The sequence below is a fragment of the Homo sapiens genome, chromosome 2 (genome assembly GCF_000001405.40).
Source record: "Homo sapiens chromosome 2, GRCh38.p14 Primary Assembly".
In the NCBI taxonomy this organism is placed as follows: domain Eukaryota; kingdom Metazoa; phylum Chordata; class Mammalia; order Primates; family Hominidae; genus Homo; species Homo sapiens.
In genome coordinates, this window is record NC_000002.12 from 128239287 (window position 1) to 128261815 (window position 22529).

The 22529-nt window shown below is 44.5% G+C and overlaps 1 long non-coding RNA gene across 1 annotated transcript, besides 4 other annotated features; it reads right to left on the bottom strand.

The window, feature by feature from the left end:
• Nucleotides 2637-3140: an enhancer, noted in NCBI's record as "NANOG hESC enhancer chr2:128999497-129000000 (GRCh37/hg19 assembly coordinates)". NCBI's record gives its function as "activates a minimal SCP1, AML or CMV promoter by ChIP-STARR-seq in naive H9 embryonic stem cells {active_cell/tissue: H9 hESC(naive)}" and the evidence as "EXISTENCE:reporter gene assay evidence [ECO:0000049][PMID:30033119]".
• LOC124907886 (uncharacterized) lies at nt 7137-15882 on the bottom strand. Its single transcript, XR_007087231.1, has 2 exons — nt 15481-15882; nt 7137-7239 (listed from the first exon to the last, which is right to left on the bottom strand). It is a non-coding gene; the product is annotated as an uncharacterized LOC124907886 (long non-coding RNA).
• Nucleotides 21369-21663: a silencer, noted in NCBI's record as "tiled region #14953; HepG2 Repressive DNase unmatched - State 1:Tss". NCBI's record gives its function as "represses a minimal TATA promoter and a strong SV40 promoter by Sharpr-MPRA in HepG2 cells {active_cell/tissue: HepG2}" and the evidence as "EXISTENCE:reporter gene assay evidence [ECO:0000049][PMID:27701403]".
• Nucleotides 21369-22131: a biological region, named in NCBI's record as "Sharpr-MPRA regulatory region 14953".
• Nucleotides 21561-22131: an enhancer, noted in NCBI's record as "H3K27ac-H3K4me1 hESC enhancer chr2:129018421-129018991 (GRCh37/hg19 assembly coordinates)". NCBI's record gives its function as "activates a minimal SCP1, AML or CMV promoter by ChIP-STARR-seq in naive H9 embryonic stem cells {active_cell/tissue: H9 hESC(naive)}" and the evidence as "EXISTENCE:reporter gene assay evidence [ECO:0000049][PMID:30033119]".

Below are 22529 nucleotides of genomic sequence, written 5' to 3' on the forward strand. Positions count from 1 at the left end.
TGGGCTCAAGCGATCCTCCAGCCTCAGTCTCCTGAGTAGCTGGGACTACAGGCGCGCGCCACCACACCTGGCTAATTTTCAAATTTTTTTGTAGAGATGAGGCCTCTTTATGTTCCTCAGGCTGGCCTTGAACTCCTGGCCTCAAGTGATCCTCCCACCTTGGCCTCCCAAAGTGTCAGGATTACAAACGTGAGCTACCATGCCTAACTAGCAGTCCCAGTTCTGAGGACTTGGCACTCATGGGTTTATGCTCTGCCACCTTCTAGATAGCAGATTGTCCCACTGCCTGGAGTGGCTGCTCTCTCTCTGGTCCTAGTGGAGTGGTATTCTATAGAACCAGTGTCCTTACTTTACGTCCCTAGTGGGCTTCCTGACTATAGTGAACCCCAGGCTGTGGCATATTTTGTGGACAAGTGAGTCTATGCCTTTTGCACTTTTCAGGGAGAAGATGAACGACGTTCACTTTATTCTCCAAGGGAAAATCGATAGGGACCATTGCTCCAGGTGGCTGGGGCTGGTGAGTCGACATGAAGCCCCGGAAGGAGTAAGGCTGTGCATGGGGTCCTTTAGAACGCTGCGTGGTGGAGGACAGAATCTCTGACATGCCTGTGGTACAGAGATGTCAGAAACACACTTGGGCGTTATACACAAGGCACTTTAAAAGCCATTATTTTAGGCTGGGCACAGTGGCTCACACCTGTAATCCCAGTACTTTGGTAGGCCAAGGTGGGTGGATCATTTGAGGTCAGGAGTTTAAGACCAGCCTGGCCAACATGGTGAAACCCCATCTCTACTAAGAATACAAAGATTAGCCGGGTGGGGTTGGCTCAAGCCTGTAGTCCCAGATGCTTGGGAGGCTGAGGCTGGAGAATTGCTTGAACCTGGGAGGTGGAGGTTGCAACGAGGCGAGATGGTGCCATTGCACTCCAGCCTGGGTGACAAGACAAAATTCTGTCTCAAAAAGAAAAAAAAATCCATTACTTTATATGATCCTCACAACAATCCAGGGTGAGGCAGGCAGCTGTTACTGATAGACCCCCTGAGACCCCTGTTTCAAAGGAGGAAGTAGGCTCACAGAGGTTATAATTGGCCCAGGGTCATCCCACCAGGAGCCTAGAGCTGCTGGCTGCCGATCCCAGGGCTCCACGGCCTCACACTGCCTGTGCACTCTAAGTAAGCTGATGTGCTTGTGTGGCTGGCTCACGCCTATATTTCAAGGCATGAGTTAGGACCCATGAGTTCAATTCTATTTGTACTTCATAAATCTCTGTATGTTGGTTCTTTTCCCACCAGAGGCCAAAGCACAGACACGTAGACCACTGTGCTCACACTTCCATGCCAAGAGCAGAACATCGACTCGAAGCACCAATTCTCAACCTTGGTAATCCATGTAGGGTCCCTTGGGGAGACTGAAAACTAGGAAGCCTGGGCCTCCTCACTCAGGGCCAACCTGACTCAGGGCTTTCCCCCAACCATTTTTTTTTTTTTTTGAGATGGAGTTTCGCTCACAGGCGTGAGCCACTGTGCCCGGCTGCTTTTCCACTTTTTATAGGCTCACTAGGTAACTGTGATGGACATGGAGGATTAAAACCCACTGATTTAGAGAAAGTTTTGAAACTGAAGTGGAAACAGAAGAGTAACTAGTGAGTTTGCTAACTGATCTTTCTTTATACATCAGTTATGATTAAGTTCAGCTGTGAGGAACAAAGTCTTAAATAATAGAGGGTTACACAAGATAGAAGTTTATTCTGGCGGGGCACGGTGGCTCGCGCCTGTAATCCCAGCACTTTGGGAGACTGAGGCAGGCAGATCACCTGAGGTCGGGAGTTCTAGACCAGCCTGACCAATATGGTGAAACCCCGTCTCTACTAAAAATACAAAAATTAGCCGGGCATGGTGGTGCATGCCTGTAATTCCAGCTACTCAGGAGGCAGAGGCAGGAGAATGGCTTGAACCTGGAAAGCTGAGGTTGCATTGAGCCGAGATCGAGCCACTGCACTCCAGCTTGGGTGACAGAGGGAGACCTTGTCTCAAAAAAAAAAAAAAAAGAAAGAAAGACGTTATTCTGTCCCATCTAAATGAAGTCTGGAAGTAGACAGTTTCAGGGCTAGTATAGCATCTTCATGATGTCTTAGGCTTCTTTGATCTTGTGACTTCTATTCCCAAGATCACCTCCTTCTCAAGGTCTAACATGGGTGCTAGTGCTCCAGCCATCATATGTATGTTCCAGGCAGCAGGACAGGGGAAAGAAGGATGAAGGGCATGCCTTTTTTTTTTTAAAGGAGGCTTCCTAGAAGTATTATATAACATTTATGTTTACATTTCTTCAGCCAAAAAGACACAAAAAGCACTAACCATAAAACAAACAAAAAATTAATAGACTATTAAAACGGAAAACTTCGCTTTATCAGGAGTTCATGAAAAGAGTAGACAATCAAGTCAAAGACTAGGAGAAGACATTCAGAAAACATATATCTGACAAAGTATTCTTAATAAAAATGTTTAAAGAATTCCTACAAATGAATAAGAAAAAGCCAAATGATCCAATTTTTTAAAAAGAACAGAAGAGGAAATGGGGACTTTTTATTTCCAGTTCCACATGTAAGGAGGTTAGAAGCCACCACTCCATCCTAGCAACAAGTACACAGTTGAACAGACTGAAGAATAAAAGAACTCTTCTTGGATCCTTAAGAGAGGTGAGGACACAGGGTAGACCATCATCCCCAGCACTGGAGGGACTGACAGGCAGACACAGGGAGTGTAGCTGACTGGAGCGGAGACCATGGGCAGAAACAACCACGGGAACCAGTGCCGGGAGGAAACCTGAACTGCCAGTGGCCAATTGCTGGAGGCTAATGGGGATGAGTCTGAGAGTTCAGAACTCCAGGGGACCCATTCATGGGATGAGGGGAAGAATACTGTGAGATTTACCTCCAGGACCTTGAACAGATTCCCACAGTGGATATCAGAGAAAAAGCTTGTGTTTCTAGCAGGAGGAGGGGAAAAGGAAAAATTTTGAAATAAGACATAGCACTCTGTTCTTCTTAACAGACCTGCCATCAGGAGAACTATTTAGCCAGAGTCTGCCTGCCGGGTTATTTTATTTTCAATTTTTTTTTGAGACAAGGTCTTGCTCTATTGTCCAGGCTGAAGTGCAGTGGCATGATCATGGCTCATTGTAGCCTTGGCCTCCCAGACTCAAGCAGTCCTCCCATCTCAGCCTCCCTCATAGCTGTGACTACAGGTCACATGGACTAATTAAAAAACAAATTATTGTAGAGATATGGTTTCACTATGTTGCCCAGGCTTGTCTCGAACTCCTGTGCTCAAGTGATCCTCCTGCCTTGACTTCCCAAAGTGCTGAGATTACAGGCATGAGGCACCACGCCCGGCCCTAATTTTTTTTAATGATACCTTATATTTGTACATATTTAAGGGGTATATGTGATATTTTGTTACATGCACAGAATGTGTAATGATCAAGTCAGGGTATTTGGGGTGCCCATCACCTGGAATATTGATCACTTCTTTGTGTTGGGAACATTTCAAGTTCTCTCTTCTAGCTGTTTTGAAATACGCAACACACCGTTGTTGACTAGTCACTGTACTCTGCTATTGAACATTGAAACTTATTCCTTCTATGTAATTGTATGTTTCCATGCATTAATCAACTTTTCTTCATCCCCTCACCCACCTGCCACACACACACACAGCTTCACCTGCTGGGGTATTATTAGAGCTTAACTGACTTGGAGGAAGGGAAGTAGCAACTCCAGCCCACGGTAGCTATTCTGCCCCACTTAAGGGGGAAGACAAGAACCTGTGAAGTTCATGGTACAGAGCGATAGACTCACAAAAAGTCCTAATCACAGTAGGACACGTCCTCTCCCCGCAACATTACCACATCACTGAAGGCTGAGCAGTTCCTTTTACTCAGCACACTGTGTACACCATGAAGAAAAATATACAAGGCATACGACAAGGCAAAAAACACAATTTGAAGAGACAGAGCATTCGAATGAGACGTGGCCGGAATGTTAGAATTATCAGACCAGGAATTTAAAACAACTATGATTAATATGCTAAGGGCTCTAATGGATAAAGCAGACAGCGTGCAAGAACAGATGAGTAATATAAGTAGAGAGATGAAAATCCTAAGAAAGAACCAAAAAGAAATGCTATAGATTAAAAACAACAACAACAACAAAAAACCACACCACTGTAACAGGAATGAAGAATGCCTTGATAAGCTCATTAGTAGACCGGACACAGCTGAGGAAAGAATCTCTCAGCTTAAGGATATGTCAATAGAAACTTCCAAAACTGTGAAGCAAAGAGAACAAAGACTGAAAAAAAGAAAAAAGAAAAGAAAAGAAAAAAACACGCCCCAAACCAAATCAGAACAGAATATCCAAGGACTACGGGGCCAACTATAGAAAAGTGTAACATATGTGTAATGAGAATACCAGAAAGAGAAGAAAGAAGAAATATCTGAAACAATAATGACAGGATTTCCCCAGGTTAATGTCAGACATCAAACCACAGATCCAGGAAGCTCAGAGAACACTAGCCAGGATAAATGCCCCCGAAACCCCCACACCTAGGCATATCATTTAGAACATACAGAAAATCAAATATAGAGGAAAATTCTTGAAAGAAGCCAGAGGAAAAAAGTGCCATACCTACAAGGAACAAAGATAATAATTACATCTGACTTCTCTTTAAAAACAATGCAAGCAAGAAGAGAGTGGAGTGAAATATTTAAAATGTTGGGAGAAAAAAAGCACCAACCTAGAATTCTTCATGCTGTGAAATTGTGCTTCAAAAGTAAAGGAAAAACGAAAACTTTCTCAGACAAACAAAAAGCGAAGGATTATGTTGCTGGTAGAACTGACTTGCAGAAATGTTAAAAGAAGTCTTAAGAAGAAAAATAATATAGGTCAGAAACTCAAGCTCTACATAAAGAAAGGAAGAGGGCTGGGCGCAGTGGCTCAAGCCTGTAATCCCAGCACTTTGGGAGGCCAAGGCAGGCAGATCACCTGAGGTCAGGAGTTTGAGACCAGCCTGGCCAACATGGCAAAACCCAGCCTGGGTGACACAGCGAGATTCCATCTAAAAAAAAAAAAAACAAAAACCTTTAATTTTTCTTATTCTTAATTGATCTAACAGAGCAATACAGCTACATACTGTAAGTTTACATCCATAAGTAAAATGAATGACAGCAATGACACAAAGCTCAGGAGAGAAGAGTTAGTATTATTTTGTTACAAGGGACTCACGCTGACTGTGAGGTGGTACAGTGTTATTTGAAGGTAGACTTGGATTAGTTATAAATGTATATTGCAAACTGTAGGGCAACCACTAAAAAAAGTTTAAAAAGGAGATAACTGATATGCTAACAGTCTAGAGAAAACAGAATCATATATGATCTCTTTTTTTTTTCTTTTTTTTTGAGATGGAGTCTCGCTCTGTTGCCCAGGCTGGAGTGCAATGGCGCAATCTCTGCTCACTGCAGCCTCTGCCTCCTGAGTTCAAGAGATTCTCCTGCCTCAACCTCCTGAGTAGCTGGGATTACAGGCACCCACCATCATGCCTGGCTAATTTTTGTATTTTTGTAGAGGTAGGGTTTCACCATGTTGGCCAGGCTGGTCTTGAACTCCTGACCTCATGTGATCTTCCCACCTCGGCCTCCCAAAGTGCTGGGATTACAAGCGTGGGTCACTGCGCCCAGCATACAATCTCAATTAAAACCTCAAAAGGCAGAAAAAGAGTGGAAGGCAAAAATAGGCATGAAGAACGAGGGCAACTAATAGAAAATAGTAAAAAATATATGGTAAATATTAATCTAACTATATCAATATTCACTTTGAACATCAGTGGTTTAAATACACCAATTAAAATATAGAGATTGTTGGCCGGGCGCGGAGGCTCATGCCTGTAATCCCAGCACTTTGGGAGGCCAAGGTGGGTGGATCACCTGAGGTCAGGAGCTGGAGACCAGCCTGACCAACATGGAGAAACCCCGTCTCTACTAAACATACAAAATTAGCCGGGCGTGGTGGCACATGCCTGTAATCCTAGCTGCTAGGGAGGCTGAGGCAGGAGAATTACTTGAACCTGGGAGGTGGAGGTTGCGGTGAGCTGAGATCGTGCTATTACACTCCAGCCTGGGCAACAACAGCGAAACTCTGTCTCAAAAAAAAAAAAATATATCTATATCTATCTATCTATATATATATACATACACACACACACACACACACATATATACACACACACACACACACACACACACACATATATACACATATATATACACACATACTCCAGCCTGGGTGACAGAGCGAGACTCCATCTCAAAAAAAAAAAAAAGTAAATGGATGAAGAGAAATACACCATGCTAACACTGATCAAAAGAGATCAGTAGTAGCTCTATTAATTTGAGACAGAGCAGACTCAAAGCAAGGAAATTTATCAAGGATAAAGAAGGGCAATACATAATGACAAAGGGGGTCATTTGTCCCATGGTCATTATGTAATGCCCTCTTTTATCCACTGAGGTTCTCCAATCCTTAACATGTATACAACTGACAACAGAGCAAAAACATGAGGCAGAAACTAATAAAACTGAAAGGAAAATTGATAAATCCATGAACACAGTTGAACACTTTAACCACATTTTATCAGAAATGGCCAGATCCAGCAAGCAGCAAATCAGTGAAGGTGTAGTTGAACTCAAAACACCATCAATCATTAGATATAATTAACATCTCTAGACTACTTCCTTCAGCAACAGCAAAATATTGTCAAGCTCACATAGAACATTCACCAAGATAGACCACATTTCAGGCCATAAAGCATTCCTTAACAACTTTAAAAGAATAGTAATCATGCAGTGTTTGCTTTCAGATCACAATGGAATCAAACTACAAATCTGTAACAGAAAGATAACTGGAAAATGCCAAAATACATGGAAATTAAAAACAACATGCTTCCTTAGGAAAAAAACCAACAAACACATGGATTAAAGGAGAAATCTCAAGATAAATTTTAAAATATTTTGAGCCAAATGAAAATGAAAATACAACTTGTCTTAGCCCATTTTATGTTGCTATTATAGAATACCACAGACTGGGTAATTTGTAATGAACGGAAATTTATTTGACTCACAATTCTGGAGGCTAAGAAGTCCAAGAGTATGGTGATGGCGTCTGGCAAAGGCCTTTGTGCTATGTCATCCTGTGGCAGAAGGTAGAAGGGCAAGAGAGGGTGAGAGCAAGAGAGCAAGAAGGGGGCCAAACTCACTTTTATGACAAACCTACTTTTGAGATAACTGCTAGCCCATCCCCGTGATCACGACATTAATCCATTAATGAGAGCAGAGCCTTCAGGACTGAATCATCTCTTATTAGGCCCCAGCTCCCAAAACTGTCACATTGGGGATTGTTTCCAACACATGACCTTTGAGGGGTATATTCAAACCATAGCACAATTTATCCAAGATCGCGGGATGCAGCAAAAGTAGTACATAAAGGGAATTTATAGCATTGGATGCATACATCAGGAAAGAAGAAAAATCTAAAATCAATAATCTAAATTTCCACATTAGAAAACTAGAGAAAGAAGAGCAAATTAATTCCAAAGTAATCAGAAGAAAAGAAATAAAATAATTCGAGCAGGAAGCAATGAAATTGAACACAGGAAATCAGTAGAGGAAATCCACAAAAGCAAAAGCAGTTCTTTGAAGAGATTAATAATATCAATAAGTCTCTTGCCAGGCTAAGAAAAAAAGAGAGAATGTAAATTACTAACATCAGAAATGAAAGATACTATGGACATTATAAGATTAATAAAGGAATACTATGAAGAACTCTGTCCACAAATTTGATAACACAGATGAAATGAACCAATTCATTGAAAGACACAATCTGTCAAAACTCACCAAGAAAAAAATAGACATTCTGAATAGGCCTATAGCTATTCAAGTGATTGAATCAATAATTAATAATCTTCTAAAAAATAAAGCACTAGGCCCAGATAAGTGCAACTTCTACCAAACTTTTTTTTTTTTTGAGATAGAGTCTTGCTCTGTCACCCAGGCTGGAGTGTAGTGGCATGATCTCGGTTCACTGCAACCTCCACCTCCCAGATTCAAATGATCCTCGTGCCTCAGCCTCCTGAGTAGCTAAACTACAGGCATGTGCCACCATACCTGGCTAATATTTGTTTGTTTGTTTGTTTTTGAGATGGAGTTTTGCTCTTGTTGCCCAGGCTGGAGTGCAATGGTGCGATGTCGGCTCACCACAACCTCCACCTCCCGGGTTCAAGTGATTCTCCTGCCTTAGCCATCTGAGTAGCTGGGATTACAGGCATGTGCCACCACATCTGGCAAATTTTGTATTTTTAGTACAGACCGGGTTTCTCCATGTTGATCAGGCTAGTCTCTAACTCCTGACCTCAGGTAATCCACCCGCCACGGCCTCCCAAAGTACTAGGATTACAGGTGTGAGCCACCGCGCCTGGCCTTAATATTTGTATTTTTAGTAGAGATGGGGTTCTGCCATGTTGGCCAGGTTGGTCTCAAACTCCTGGCCTCAACTGATCTGCCCACCTCAACCACCCAAAGTACTGGGATGACAGGTGTGAGCCACCTCACTCAGCCCGTAACACACATTTAAGGAAGAAATTATACAAATTGTCTACAATGTCTTTCAGAGAATAGAAACAGAGAGAATACTTCCTAACTCTTTATGAGGACAGCATTACCAGAATATCAAAACCAGACAAAGATAATACCAGAAAAGAAAACTAATATCCCTCATTAACAAAGAGGCAAAAACTCTCAACAAAATATTAATAAATTAAATCCAACAATGTATACAAAGAATTATTTACTAAACCCACTGAGGTTTATCCTAGGTATACAAGGCTGGTTTGACATTTGAAAATTAATTAATGTAATGCATATATCAACAGGCTAAGAAAAAAATTATGATCATATCTATACAGAAAAAACATTTGACAAAATGCTGTTTATAGTAGCTTTACCCATAATTACTAAAACTTGGAAGCAGCCAAGATGTCTTTCAGTAGGTGATTGGATAACATGGTGGTACATGCATAATAATGGAATATTATTTAGCACTAAAAAGATTTTAGCTATCAAGCCACAAAAGCACATAGAGAATCCTTTTTTTTTTTTTTTTTTTTTTGAGATGGAGTCTGGCTCTGTCATTCAAGCTGGAGTGTAGTGGCGCGATCTCGGCTCACTGCAACCTCTGCCTCCCGGGTTCAAGCGATTCTCCTGCCTCAGCCTCCTGAGTAGCTGGGATTACAGGCGCCCACCACCATGCCCAGCTAATTTTTGTACTATTAGTAGAGACGGGGGTTTCACCATGTTGGGCAGGCTAGTCTCGAACTCCTGACCTCAGGTGATCCGCCCACCTTGGCCTCCCAAAGTGCTGGGATTACAGGCATGAGCTACCGCGCCCAGCCGAGGATCCTTAAATGCATCTTACTAAGTGAAAGAAGCTAATTTGAAAAGGCTGCCTAGTGTATGATTCCAACACCCTGGAGAAGGCAGAGCCATGGAGACAGTGAAAAGAGCAGTGGTTGTTAGGCATTAGTGGGGAGGGAAAGATGAGTAGGCAGAGCAGAGGAGATTTTTAAGGCAGTGAAAATACTCTGTGTGATGCTCTAATGGTGGATCCATGTCATTATGCATTTGTCCAACCCATAGAATATCCAACACCAAGAGTGAGCCCTCAGGTAAACCGTGAACTTTGGAGGATAATGATGTCGCCGTAGGGTCATCAACTCTAACAAATGTACCACACTGTTTGGGGATGTGGATAATGGCCAGCGTGGTGGCAGGGGTTATATGAGAAATCTCTGTACCTTCCTCTTAATTTTGCTATGATATCCAAAGATATCCAGATGGCCCACAGCATATGAAAAAGTGTTCAACATCATTACTTATTTGAGTAATAAAAATTAAAAACTAGAATGAAATTCCACTATGCAATTAGAATGACTAAAATGGAAAAGATTGGCATCAACAAAGGTTGGCAAGGATGTGGAGCAATGGAAACTCTCATCCACTGTCTACACAGGTAAATCAGTTCCAACACTTTGGAAAACTACAAATTTGGTGTAAAGTTAAAATTCACTTTTATATGGCCCAGAAATCGTATTCTTTGGTATTTACACAAAAGGAATAAAAAGATAGGTCTACAGAGAGAATTTAATGTCAACTTTATTTATAAATAGGTAAAAACTCAAAAGAACCCTATGTCCAATAACAGGAGAATGGGTAAACAAATTACGGTACATTCATATATGACACAGATTAAAAAAACAGCAAAGATCTCTTGCTGCTAGCCAGGCCCTGGCCAGGCCCAGCTAGTAGCACCAGCTGTCCTGACCCCTGAAAGGCTCTGGGCCTGGCCTAGGATCTTGTAGCAGCATCTTGGCAGGCAGAGTTGAGCCCAGAGGGAGCTCAGAGTTGGAGATGGTGCAGCCTGTAGCAGCCAATGGCACCTCTTCTAGGGAGACTGGACTTAGCCAGCTAGCGTCTGTGAGGAGTCACATGTAATACACATGGTGCCCAACATGAATAGCATGAAACATATATAGCATGTAGTATATGCTGCATATAACATATATAGCATGCATACATGCATAGCATGTAACACACATACATGTGCAACACTAGTACACAATATATACAGCATATATAACACAAGCTGCATGACATGTAACAGACATAGCATGTGTACATGTATGGCATGCAACATGCATAGTAAACAACATGTACACTACATAACTCATAGCATACATATAGAATGCATAACAGACACATGCATGTTTAACGTATAACACACAAGCATATAATATGTATAGCAAGTAATACACATACTGCTTGATAGGTATAACATGTATATAGCGTGCACCACATGCAGCAGACACCATGTATAGCATGTCACAGATATAGCACGTATACATGGATGGCACATACCATGCATAGCATAGAACCTTGGCCTGTGGTCTGTTCTTCCATGAGGAACATCCCCTCCCCTGGTTGGACTGGCCTGAGGGTGGGAATAGCTCTTCCCAGCAGGCATAATTAGGCTTATTTTGCCCCACCCTTCACCCTCCACCCTTTATTTCCTTCTTGGGACATGGCCTGAATAAGCTGGGATAAAGAAGGGGCCTTTTGTAATGTGGCTGTGAGTGGAGAACAGCCCAGGAGGCTCTTTTCTATACCGGCCCCTGGAGTCACTAGAAGAGGTCACTTGGCTGCACCAGGCCTCTGGCTGCCTTGCAGCCAGGCCTCCAGGCTGAGGGTGTGAAGAAGGCTGGCTTCCTTCTCAGTCCTGCAATGCTTCTGTCAAGGGAGAAGCAACTTGGCAAGAGGGCTTCTGGTGACTGCCCTGAAATCAGGGTGTCTTGGTTTGTGTTCCCCCAGGAGCAGACTCAGCAAGGCTTCAATTGCAGGTGGCTTATTCAGGAGGTCATCTCAGGAACCTCCAGTATGCAAATGGGGAAGTGAGGGAGGACAAAGCAGGCGTCTTATCACGCAGGCTCCACCAGGCAAGTGGGGTTAATCCCTGCGGGGATCCTGGAGACTTATCCTTGTCTGTCGTGGAGCCACCAGTTCTCAAGGAGTGATCTACTCCCAGCCCTCATTTTACAGTACAGAGTTTTGATGAAAAGAGCCTAACTCAGCAGGGTGCAGCGGCTCATGGCTGTAATCCCAGCACTTTGGGAGGCCAAGGCAGGTGGATCACCTGAGGTCAGGAGTTCAAGACCAGCCTGGCCAATATGGTGAAACCCCATCTCTACTAAAAATACAAAAATTAGCTGGGCATGGTGGCAAGCACCTGTAATCCCAGCTACTCGGGAGGCTGAGGCAGGAGAATCACTTGAACCCAGGAGGCAGAAGTTGCAGTGAGCCGAGATTGCACCATTGCACTCCAGCCCAGGCAACAAGAGCAAAACTCCATCTCAAAAAAAAAAAGAGTCAAACTCTGTAAAATATTTGAAGATATTTATATAAGCAGAGCCAAATATGAGTGACCATGGCCCATGACACAGCCCTCAGGAGGTCCTGAGAGCATGTGCCCAAGGTGGTCGGAGCGCAGCTTGGTTTTATACATTTTAGGGAGGCATGAGACATCAATCGAATACATTTAAGAATTACACTGGTTTGGTCCAGAAAGGTGGGACAACTCCAAATGAGGGGGCTTCCAGACTATAGGTAATTTTTTTTTTTTTTTTTGAGACGGAGTCTCACTCTGTCACCCAGGCTGGAGTGCTGTGGCTTGATCTTGGCTCACTGCAACCTCTGCCTCCCAGGTTCAAACGATTCTCCTGCCTCAGCCACCGTAGCTGGGATTACAGGTGCCTGCCACCACGTCTGGCTAATTTTTGTATTTTTAGTAGAGATGGGTTTCACCATGTTGGACAGGCTGGTCTCGAATTCCTGGCCTCCAGTGATCCACCTACCTCAGCCTCCCAAATTGCTGGGATTACAGGCATGAGCCACTGTGCCCAGCCAGCTATAGGTAAATTTAAACATTTTCTGGATGATGATTGGTTGAGTTTGTCTGAAGACCTGGGATCAGTAGAAAGGAATGTCTGGGTTGCCATAAGAGGTGGTGGAGAGCAAAGTTTTACTATGCAAATGAGACTTTTTTTTTTTTTTTGGAGACAGAGTCTGACTCTGTCGTCCAGGCTGGAGTGCAGTGGCATGAACTCAGCTCGCTGCAACCTCCGCCTCCTGAGTTCAAGCGATTCTCCTGCCTCAGCCTCCTGAGTAGCTGGGATTAAAAGTGCGGACAACCATGCCCAGCTAATCTTTGTATTTTCAGTAGGGATGGGGTTTCACTATGTTGGCCAGGCTGGTCTTGAACTCCTGACCTCAGGTGATCCTCCCGCCTTGGCCTCCCAAAGTCCTGGGATTACAGGCGTGATCCACCACACCCGGCCTGTAAAATGTTTCTTATCAGACTTAAGGTCTGTATTGATGTTAATGCTGGAGAGGTGTAATGAGGTGTGTTCGGCCCCACTCGTCCCTTCATGGCCTGAACCAGTCTCTCAGGTTACATTTGAAGAGCCCTGGCTGAGGAGGAAGTTCATTCAGATGGTTGGGGGGCCTTAGAATTTTATTTCTGGTTTACAAAATACATGATCAGGGAGAATAAGTGTTTTACCCACAAAGCTGGAAAGTGGAGGAGCTGGAGGTAGAATTTCCACACATAGGTTCAGGGCTGGAGTGATTGAGGTGAGTGTGAAGGACAGCAGATAAGGGCTGGGCTCAGGCAGTGGGAACATCCACGCGGGGGCCTTTCCTTCCTGACCCATGAGAATGTAGGTAGTGGGCCTGGGGCATCAGCCGTGGTGCCCCTGCTCAGTGCCACCTCCTGGAACTGGCTCCTACCTAACCTGACCCCATATGACGAGGCCCTGCAGTGTGCCAGCCCCGAAGAGAGGGCAGGCCCCCATGCAGGAGAAGCCAGTGCTTAAAAGCTCACGGTGGCTTTCCAAGGAATAGGTCCCCTAAATGAGCTGAGAAAAGAAGCAAAAAGATTGTGGCAGAGGGAAGATGGTGGCAGTCTGGACTCTTGCCTGATCTCATACAGATGCCACAGTTCTCCTTGCTGGGGAAAATTGGACATGGTCAGCATGTGAGGAGGGCCTGGCCAGATGGTGGGATGCTGCAGCCATTGTTTATGGCCTCACAGCCACTTTCTCAGTGACTGTCAGAAAGGGCCTTCTGAATGGAGCCTCCCTGAATTGACTGAAGGAAATGTGGATGCCTGTCCTGGGTTAAGAATAGGCATGTTCCAGGCCGGGTGCGGTGGCTCATGCCTGTAATCCCAGCACTTTGGGAGGCCGAGGAGGGTGGATCACCTGAGGCCAAGAGTTTGAGACCAGCCTGGACAACATGGCAACACCCCGTCTCTACTAAAAATACAAAAAATATTAGCCGGGTGTGGTAGCGCATGCCTGCAATCCCAGCTACTCAGGAGACTGAGGCAGGAGAATCGCTTGAACATGCGAGGCAGAGGCTGCAGTGAGCCGAGATCACACTCTAGCCTGGGCAACAAGAGCAAGACTCCATCTCAAAAACAAAACAAAACAAAACAAAACAAACAAAACAAACAAACAAAAAAACCAGCCATGTCCTAAAGGTGGGTTAATTAAAATAAAAGTCTTCTAGATAGGAAACTTACACCTCTGGTAATATGGGAATATGGATAGACAAGTTTTTCCCTCCGCCTGCTAAGTAAAACTAAAACCTCTGTCCATCATATATATACTCTGAAAGGTGGAGAGAAGACGGGCCAGCTAGGGACCTTGAGACCCAAGGAATGATGTATTAATCCATTCTCATGCTGTGAATAAAGACATACCCAAGATGGGGTCATTTACAAAGGAAAGACGTTTAATTGACTCAGTTCTTCAGGGCTGGGGAGGCCTTAGGAAACTTACAATCATGGCAGAAGGGGTAGCAAACACATCCTTCTTCGCATGATGGTAGGAAAGAGAAGTGCTGAGCAAAAGTGGAAAAGCCCCATATATATATATATATATATTTTTTTTTTTTTTTTGAGACTGAGTTTCGCTCTTGTTGCCTAGGCTGGAGTGCAATGGTGTGATCTCAGCTCACCACAACCTCCACCTCCCATGTTCAAGTGATTCTGCTGCCTCAGCCTCCCTAGTAGCTGGGATTACAGGCATGTGCCACCATGCCCGACTAATTTTGTATTTTAGTAGAGACGGGGTTTCTCCATGTTGGTCAGCCTGGTCTCGAACTCCCAACCTCAGGTGATCCACCCACCTCGGCCTCCCAAAGTGCTGGGATGACAGGCGTGAGCCACCATGCCTGGCCAAGGAAAAGCCCCTTATATTAATAAAACCATCAGATCTCATGAGAACTCACTATCACAAGAACAGCATGATGGTAACTGCCCCCATAATTAAGTTACCTCCCACTGGGTCCCTTCCACAACACATGGGGATTATGGGAACTACAATTCAAGGTGAGATTTGATGTGGACACAGAGTCAAATCATATCAAATGAAATAGTGGTGAGTCCCTGAGTTTTCTTTTTGGCCTCATGTGTCCCAGACTTGGAGGAGAAGCAGCTGGCAACCCAGAAATGCTCATTGGCACAGAAAAAACAAAAGCCCCAAGAAAGTCTGCTGTCTTAGTCCAAAGACCAGGAAAGGTGTAGCTTACCAGAACAGAAAACTCTCAGGCAATAATCATTCTACCCCAGCTGAACACCACAGAAAAATCTGTGGTCCCCCAACCCCCACCAGCAAAGGCCAAGGTGAGATCCTAAACTATAACAAAGCACCCCAACGTCTGCTGGGATGGTGTCAGAGAAGGCCAGGTAAGGGGCTGGGACTTCTATCCCCAGTGGCTGGTTATGAGCCCCTCCCAGGTTTCAGTAACATTGAGCCCCTCACCTCAGGTGTCAGGAGAACCAAGCGAGGAACCTGCATCTACACCTGGAAGTGCCGGGACAGCAACAGCACCTCCCCTGTTTCCCCGCCAGAGCCATGTCAGTGACTGGAAGCTGAAACAGAAAGATTCAGTAAGATCCAGAGTCTTATATAGGAAAAATGTCCATATTTCAAGAGAAAATCACTCATCATATCAAGAACCAGGAAAATCTCAAGTTGAATGAAAAAAGACAATCAGTAGATGCCAATACCAAGATGACAGGGATGTTAGAATTATTTGAGAAGTTTGACAATAATTCTTAAAACAGCCATGATAAAAATGCTTCAATGAATAATTACAAGCACTCTTGAAACACAGGATAAAATAGAATGTCTCAGCAAAGAAATAGAAGCTATAAAGAAGAACCAGGCTGGGTGCGGTGGCTCACGTCTGTACTCCCAGTGCTTTGGGAGGCCGGGGCAGGTGGATTGCTTGAGGCCAGGAGTTCGAGACCAGCCTGGGAAATACAGCAAGACCCTGTCTCTACTAAAAATACAAAAATTAGCCAGGTGTGGTGGCACATGCCGGTAGTCCCAGCTTCTTGGGAGGCACGAGAATTGCTTGAAGCTGGGAGACAGGGGTTGCATGAGCCAAGATCATCCCACTGCACTCCAGCTTGCACTACAGAGCAAGACTCTGTTTCTCAAAAAACAAAAACAAACAAACAAACAAACAAACAAACTAGAACCAAATGGAAATTTCAGAACTGAAAACACAATGACTGAAGTAAAAATTTCAGCAGATGGTCTCAATAGCAAATGGAGGGGACAGAGGAAAGAACTAATGAACCGATGAACTGGAAGCCAGAACAAAAGGAATTACCCAATCTGAAAACAGAGATAAAAAGCAGATTTAAAAAAATGAGCAGAACCTTGTGGGCCTATAACAAGATCTTACATTAATGCCATCCAAATCCTGGAAGGAGAGAAGAAAGAGGGTGGAGCTGGCAAAGTATGCGATGAAATAATGGCTGAAAACTTGTCAAATTTGGCAAGAGACATAAACTTATGTATTCAAGAAGCTGAATGAATGCCCAACAGGATAAGTTCAGAGTAATCCACTCCAACATACATCATAATTAAATTCCTGAAAATGAAAGATAAAAAAAATCTTAATAAGTAGCCAGAGAAAACAATACATTACCCCTAGAGGAAGAAACAACTGAAATGACAGTGTATTTCTCATCAGAAACCATGGAAGCCAGGAGAAAGTGGCATAATTTTTTTTCAAGTGCTGAAAGAAAGGAATTGTCAACCCAAAATCTCATTACTACCCCCGCTCCCCAAATCTTTCAGGAATAAACCAAGACATTCTCAGATGAAGGAAAACCAAGAGAGGTGGTCACGAGCACACCTACCCTAAAAGAGTGGCTAAAGGAAAGTCTCTAAACATGAAAGGAAACAATAAAATAAGGAACCCTGAAACACCAGGAAGGAAGAAAGAACATGGTAAGCGGAAATATGGGTGACTACAATAGGCTTTTCTCTTCTTGAGTTTTCCAAATTGTATCTGATGGTTGAAGCAAAAATTGTAACATTGATGTGGTTCTAAGTGTATGGAGAAGAAGTATTTATTAAGACAATTATAAATGGGGGAGAAAAAAGGGATATAAAAAAGGGAGGTAAGGTTTCTATACTTTATGCAAACTGGTAAAATGATGACACTAGTAGACCGTGATAAATTCTGTATACTGATGTAATACTAGAGCACCCACTAAAAAAGCTATATCTAGAGATACACTCAAAAACACTACAGATAAATGAAAATAGAATTCTAAAGAATTGTTCAGCCAAACCACACCAAGGCAAGAAAAAGAAAATAGAAAAATGAAAAAAGAGAGGACAAACAGAAAACAAAATATGAAGTGTTAGACTTAAGCCCTACCTAACATGTCAATAATTATATTAAGTGTAAGCGGTGTAAATACACGAATTAAAAGACAAAAAAAAATGGATTAAAAAACATGCCCCAATTCTATGTTGCTTACAAGCAACTAACTTCAAATAAAACAATATAGGCTGGCCAGGTGTGGTAGCTTACACCTGTAATCACAGCACTTTGGGAGGCTGAGGCAGAAGGATTGCTTGAGGCCAGGGGTTTGAGACCAGCCTTGGCAATATGGTGAAACCCCATCTCTACAAAAAATGCAAAAATTAGCCAAGTGTAGCAGCATGTGCCTGTGGTCCCACGTACTTGGGAGGCTGAGGTGGGAGGCTGAGGTGGGAGGATCACTTGAGCCCTGGAGGTAGAGGCTGCAGTGAGCTATGATTGTGCCACTGCACTCCAGCCTGGGCGAGAAAACGAGACCATGTCTCAAAAAGCAAAAAACCAACCAAAGAAAACCAACCAACCAAACAAAAAAACCCCAAAACCAACAACAACAAAACAATATAGGCAAGTTGAGAGTAAAAGGATGAAAAATGATATATCATGTGAAGATTAATCAAAAGAAAGCAGGAGTGACAATATTAATATCAGAAGGCAAACTTCAGAGCAAAGACAATTACCAGACATAGTGTGGGACAGTATATAATGCTAAACTGGTCAAAATCCACCAGGAAGGCATTGTAATTTTAAATGTGTATGCACCAGACAAGACACTTACAAAATATGTGAAACAAAACTGAGAAAAGAGAAATAGATAAATCCACAATTATAGTTAGAATCTTTAATATTCCTCTCTCAAAAATTGATAGAACAGCTAGACAGAAATTGGCAAGGATATAGAAGAATTCAACAATGAACAGACTTAATTGGCATTTGTAAAACACTCCACACAACAACAGCAGTATATATACCTTCTTTCCAAGTGTCCATGGAATATATACCAAGACAGACCATAGACGGGGTGATAAATCTCAACAAGTTTAAAATAATTGAAATCATACAGAGCATGTTCTCTGACCACAATGGAATAAAACTAGAAATCAATAACGGAAAGATAACAGAAAAATCTCCCAACATTTGGGAACTAAACAATGTCATTCTAAGTATTCCATGAGTTAAAGAGGAAGCCTTAAAGTGAAATTTAAACACTGAACTAAGAATAAAAATGTAACATTAAAATTTATAGAAGGCAGCTTAAGCAGTGTTGAGAGGCAAATGTACGGCAAGAAATGTTTCCATTAGAGAAGAGGAAAAGATTCAAAACAAGAATCTAAACTCCCGGACCAGGCGCGGTGGCTTACGCCTGTAATCCCAGCACTTTGGGAGGCCAAGGTGGGTGGATCACCTGAGGTCAGGGGTTCAAGACCAGCCTGGCCAACATAGCCAAACTTTATCTCTACTAAAAATACCAAAAAAAAAAAAAAAATTACCTGGGCTTGGTAGTGCGCCTGTAATCCCAGCTACTTGGGAGGCTGAGGCACGAGAATTGCTTGAACCCAGGTGGTGGAGGCTGCAGAGAGCCAAGATCATGCCACAGCACTCCAGCCTGGGGGCAGACCAAGACTCCATCTGAAAAAAATAAAAATCTTAAATAAGAAATCCTGGGCAGTGATCTGATTGGTTCTGCTTGTGTCATGTGCCACAAGAAGGCCACAGGGTCGGCCGGGAGGCAGGGCCCTTTCCACCAAGGTGTCCCCCTCAGCATTGCTGGCTCAGTGGACGTCCCCTCACCCAGGCAGCGCTGTGTGCAGTGGGGCTGTGGCAGCTGGTCTTGGGGGCTCTTGTGAAAAGGGACAAAACAGATGTGTGGGGGAACAGAGATGTGTTCCCCAGGGGAACCAGGACTGGTGTCACCATTGCTCCATGATTAATCCAGCAACATGGTGTGGAACAGCTTAAAGCCCGTGTCCCTCGGCTCCCCTGACTTCATGGCACCTGGCCACCCAGGAGGTGCCAACCAGCCTGGTCCTCTGTCCATGTCCTAGGAGTGCTTGGACCTGACTGTGGGTGCCAGGTCCCTTCCTGTTTCGGGAGCTGGTAGCCTGAGGTAGTCCAGGCTTCTGCACTGAACTCACAGGCAGGCTTGTTCAAATTATGACTTTATTTTGAGACACATAACCACACAGGAAAGTCCAAAGAACAACATGTATCCTTAGTATGTATTTATGCTTTATTATATGTATTTATATTGTTAATATATACTATTGTTATATAAGATATATACACATTTATATAAGATTCAAATATTTATACATATTAATAGATTTATAAATTTATAAATTTTTATATATAAATGTACCTATCACTCAGAGGTGATGATTGTTCTTCTTGTCTTATTTTCTAATCAAAATATGTAAAGTGTTACAGATAAAGTTGATGTTCCCTTATTCCTCCAGCCTGAGAAGTCCCCATTTTGCAATTTTGAGAAAATTCCTGTCATGAATTTGTGTTTATCTTCCCTTCCATTTTGCTTTTGTTTTTATTTCCAGCTATTTATGTTTTGAATGGGTAATTCATGCATGTTTCATTGTCTTCATCTTTCCTTTCCTTTCTTTCTTTCTTTCTTTTTTTCTTTCTTTCTCTCTTTCTCTCTCTTTTCTTTTCCTTCTCCTCCCCCTCCCCTCCCGTTCTTTTCCCTTTCTTTCTTTTCTGTGAGACAGGGTCTCATTCTGTTGCCCAGGCTGGAATGAAGTGGCTTGATCTCGGCTCACGACAACCTCCAACTCCTCAGCTCAATTGATACTCCCGCCTCAGCCTCCCAAGCAGCTGGGATTACAGGCATGCAGCACCACTGCTGTCTAATCTTATTTTATTTTTTTGTAGAGACAAGGTCTTGCTATGTTGCCCAGATTGGTCTGGAACTCTTGACTTCAAGCAATCCTCCCGCCTCAGCCTCCCAAAGTGCAGGGATTATAGGTGTGAGCCACTGCATTCGGCCTCATTCACATGTTTCAAAAATCAAAAGGTACAAAAGGAAAAAGCGCCTTTCCCCTCTCTGGGCCTTTTAACACTTCCACATAAATGAAGCCAGGAACAGCAGCAGTGTCTTGAGTAGTTGGTGGAAAGAAGGTGTTGTTACATGGGCTGCAGCCTCCAGCTATGCTCTTTGCAGGAATTTGATCTTTAGTGGCCGGACCATTGTTAGCATTAGGTTCAGCTGAGAGTGACAGAAACCCCAAGCAACAGTGGCCTTAACAAGGTACACATTTCTTTCTTTCTTTCTTTTTTTTTTTTAGACGGAGTTTCACTCTGTTACCCAGCCTGGAGTGCAGTGGTGCAATCTCGGCTTACTGCAACCTCTGCCTCCTGAGTTCAAGCAATTCTCCTGCCTCAGCCTCCTGAGTAGCTGGGACTACAGGTGCCCACTACCACGCCCAGCTAATTTTTGTAGTTTTAGTAGAGACGGGGTTTTACCATATTGGTCAGGTTCTTAACTCCTGACCTCAGGTGATCCACCTGCCTTGGCCTCCCAAAGTGCTGGGATTACAGATGTGAGCCACTGCACCCGGCCAGAACACACTTATTTCTATTTTACATGGATAAAGTCTTAAGGTAGGCATCCCAAAGCTATTAGGGTGGTTCCACAATCATCAAGGACCTATCTTGTTGCTCGACCACCCTCACCACATGGCATCTACTTCATGGTCCAACATGGCTGCTTGAGCTCCAGCCATTACATCCTCATTGTAGCCATTCAGTAGGAGAAAGGGAGGAAGTTGCTTCTGTTTCAGGATTGTCTCCCAAAGCTGCAAGGAACATTTCCTCTTGCAAACTGTTGGCCACAGGGTGTAGTGACAGCACATGTCATTGTAAAGGGGGCTGGGAAGTGTAGTCTTGATTCTGGCTTGCTGTGTCACCGCTGATATGTAGTGGTTCTACTACTAAGGAAGGAGAGGAGAACAACTACCAAGGCACAGCTAGCAGGCTCTGCCACGATGCCTGAGTTTCAGATCTTCCAGGTAGAAAAACCCCTGCCCTCATGGAGTGCCCGCTGGAAAGGGACCGACTTCAGGCCACTTCCCGAGCGGCACTTCTCGGCAGATCCCAGAAGCAGCAGCCAGGCTGTGCAGGGCCGCTTCCTAAGCAAGGGCGTGAGTCACACAAGCGGCCTTTGTTAGCTCAGCCAGCTCTCCTGGAAGTCCTTCTCCCAGAGCCGAGGGCCCCTTCCAGCTCTTGCTGTGCCTGAGGCATCATCAGGCGGTGCTGCCCGGAGAGGACGCTGTGCAGCAGTGGGCCCACCCGCTCAGCCCTCACGAGCAACGTTGCCTGGTGCTCCCCGGGTTGGGACCCGGGCCTTCTCGGCTTCTGGGGCTGGGCGGGCACCGCAGGGAACAAAGAAGCATTCCTGAGCCTGAGCCACACGGCTCCAGGCTGACTCCCTGGAGTCTTGGAGAGGCTTGTCTTGAATGCCTGGCTTTTTGTTTGAGAAAGAAAAGTGTTTTCCAAAGTCCCCAGGCTTCCTCTTGCATAGAAATCACAGGGCTCCGAGGAGCCACAGAGCAGGGTGGGAGGACAGGGCAGTCAGGACGCCCTGTCGCAGGGGACAGTGAGAAGGTGCAAGGGGTGGGGAAGTCTCGGGGCACAGGTGAAAGGGAAGACACCCCACCTCAGCCCTCCATGGCTGTGGCCTCTGCTGGGACCGGGCGCTGGGAGATGGGCTGTGGCGCCCACCTGGAATCCTGCGAGGGGCGTCTGGCAGGCCTGGCTGGGTGCAGTGCAGTAGACACGGCAGTGGGCGCTCAGACACGGTTGGGGTGCGAGGGGGACCTGGGGCTGAGGTGGGGGCTCAGGGCAGGGCATCCATTAGAGGGGACAGACTGGGCCCCAGAAGGGGTCTCTGTGTCTCGCCCGAGCCAAGAGACTAGACTCTGAGTTCCTGCCGCCCTGGACACCCCTGCAGTGGAGCTGCTGAAGGCAGAAGCTGGCGGTCCTGGCGAGACCAATGATCCCTCTACAAGGTGGGGTGAGGGGGACCATGTGTGAGCGCCCTGTCCCTGCTAGGGGACGAGTGGCTTAACAGGATGTAAGTAGTTTCTTTAAAGAGGCCACGTTTTGGGCAAGTCTGGGCAGTGCTGAATGAATTCAGACCCTCCTCTGGGTCTGCCCCAGGAGCCCAAGTCCCCCC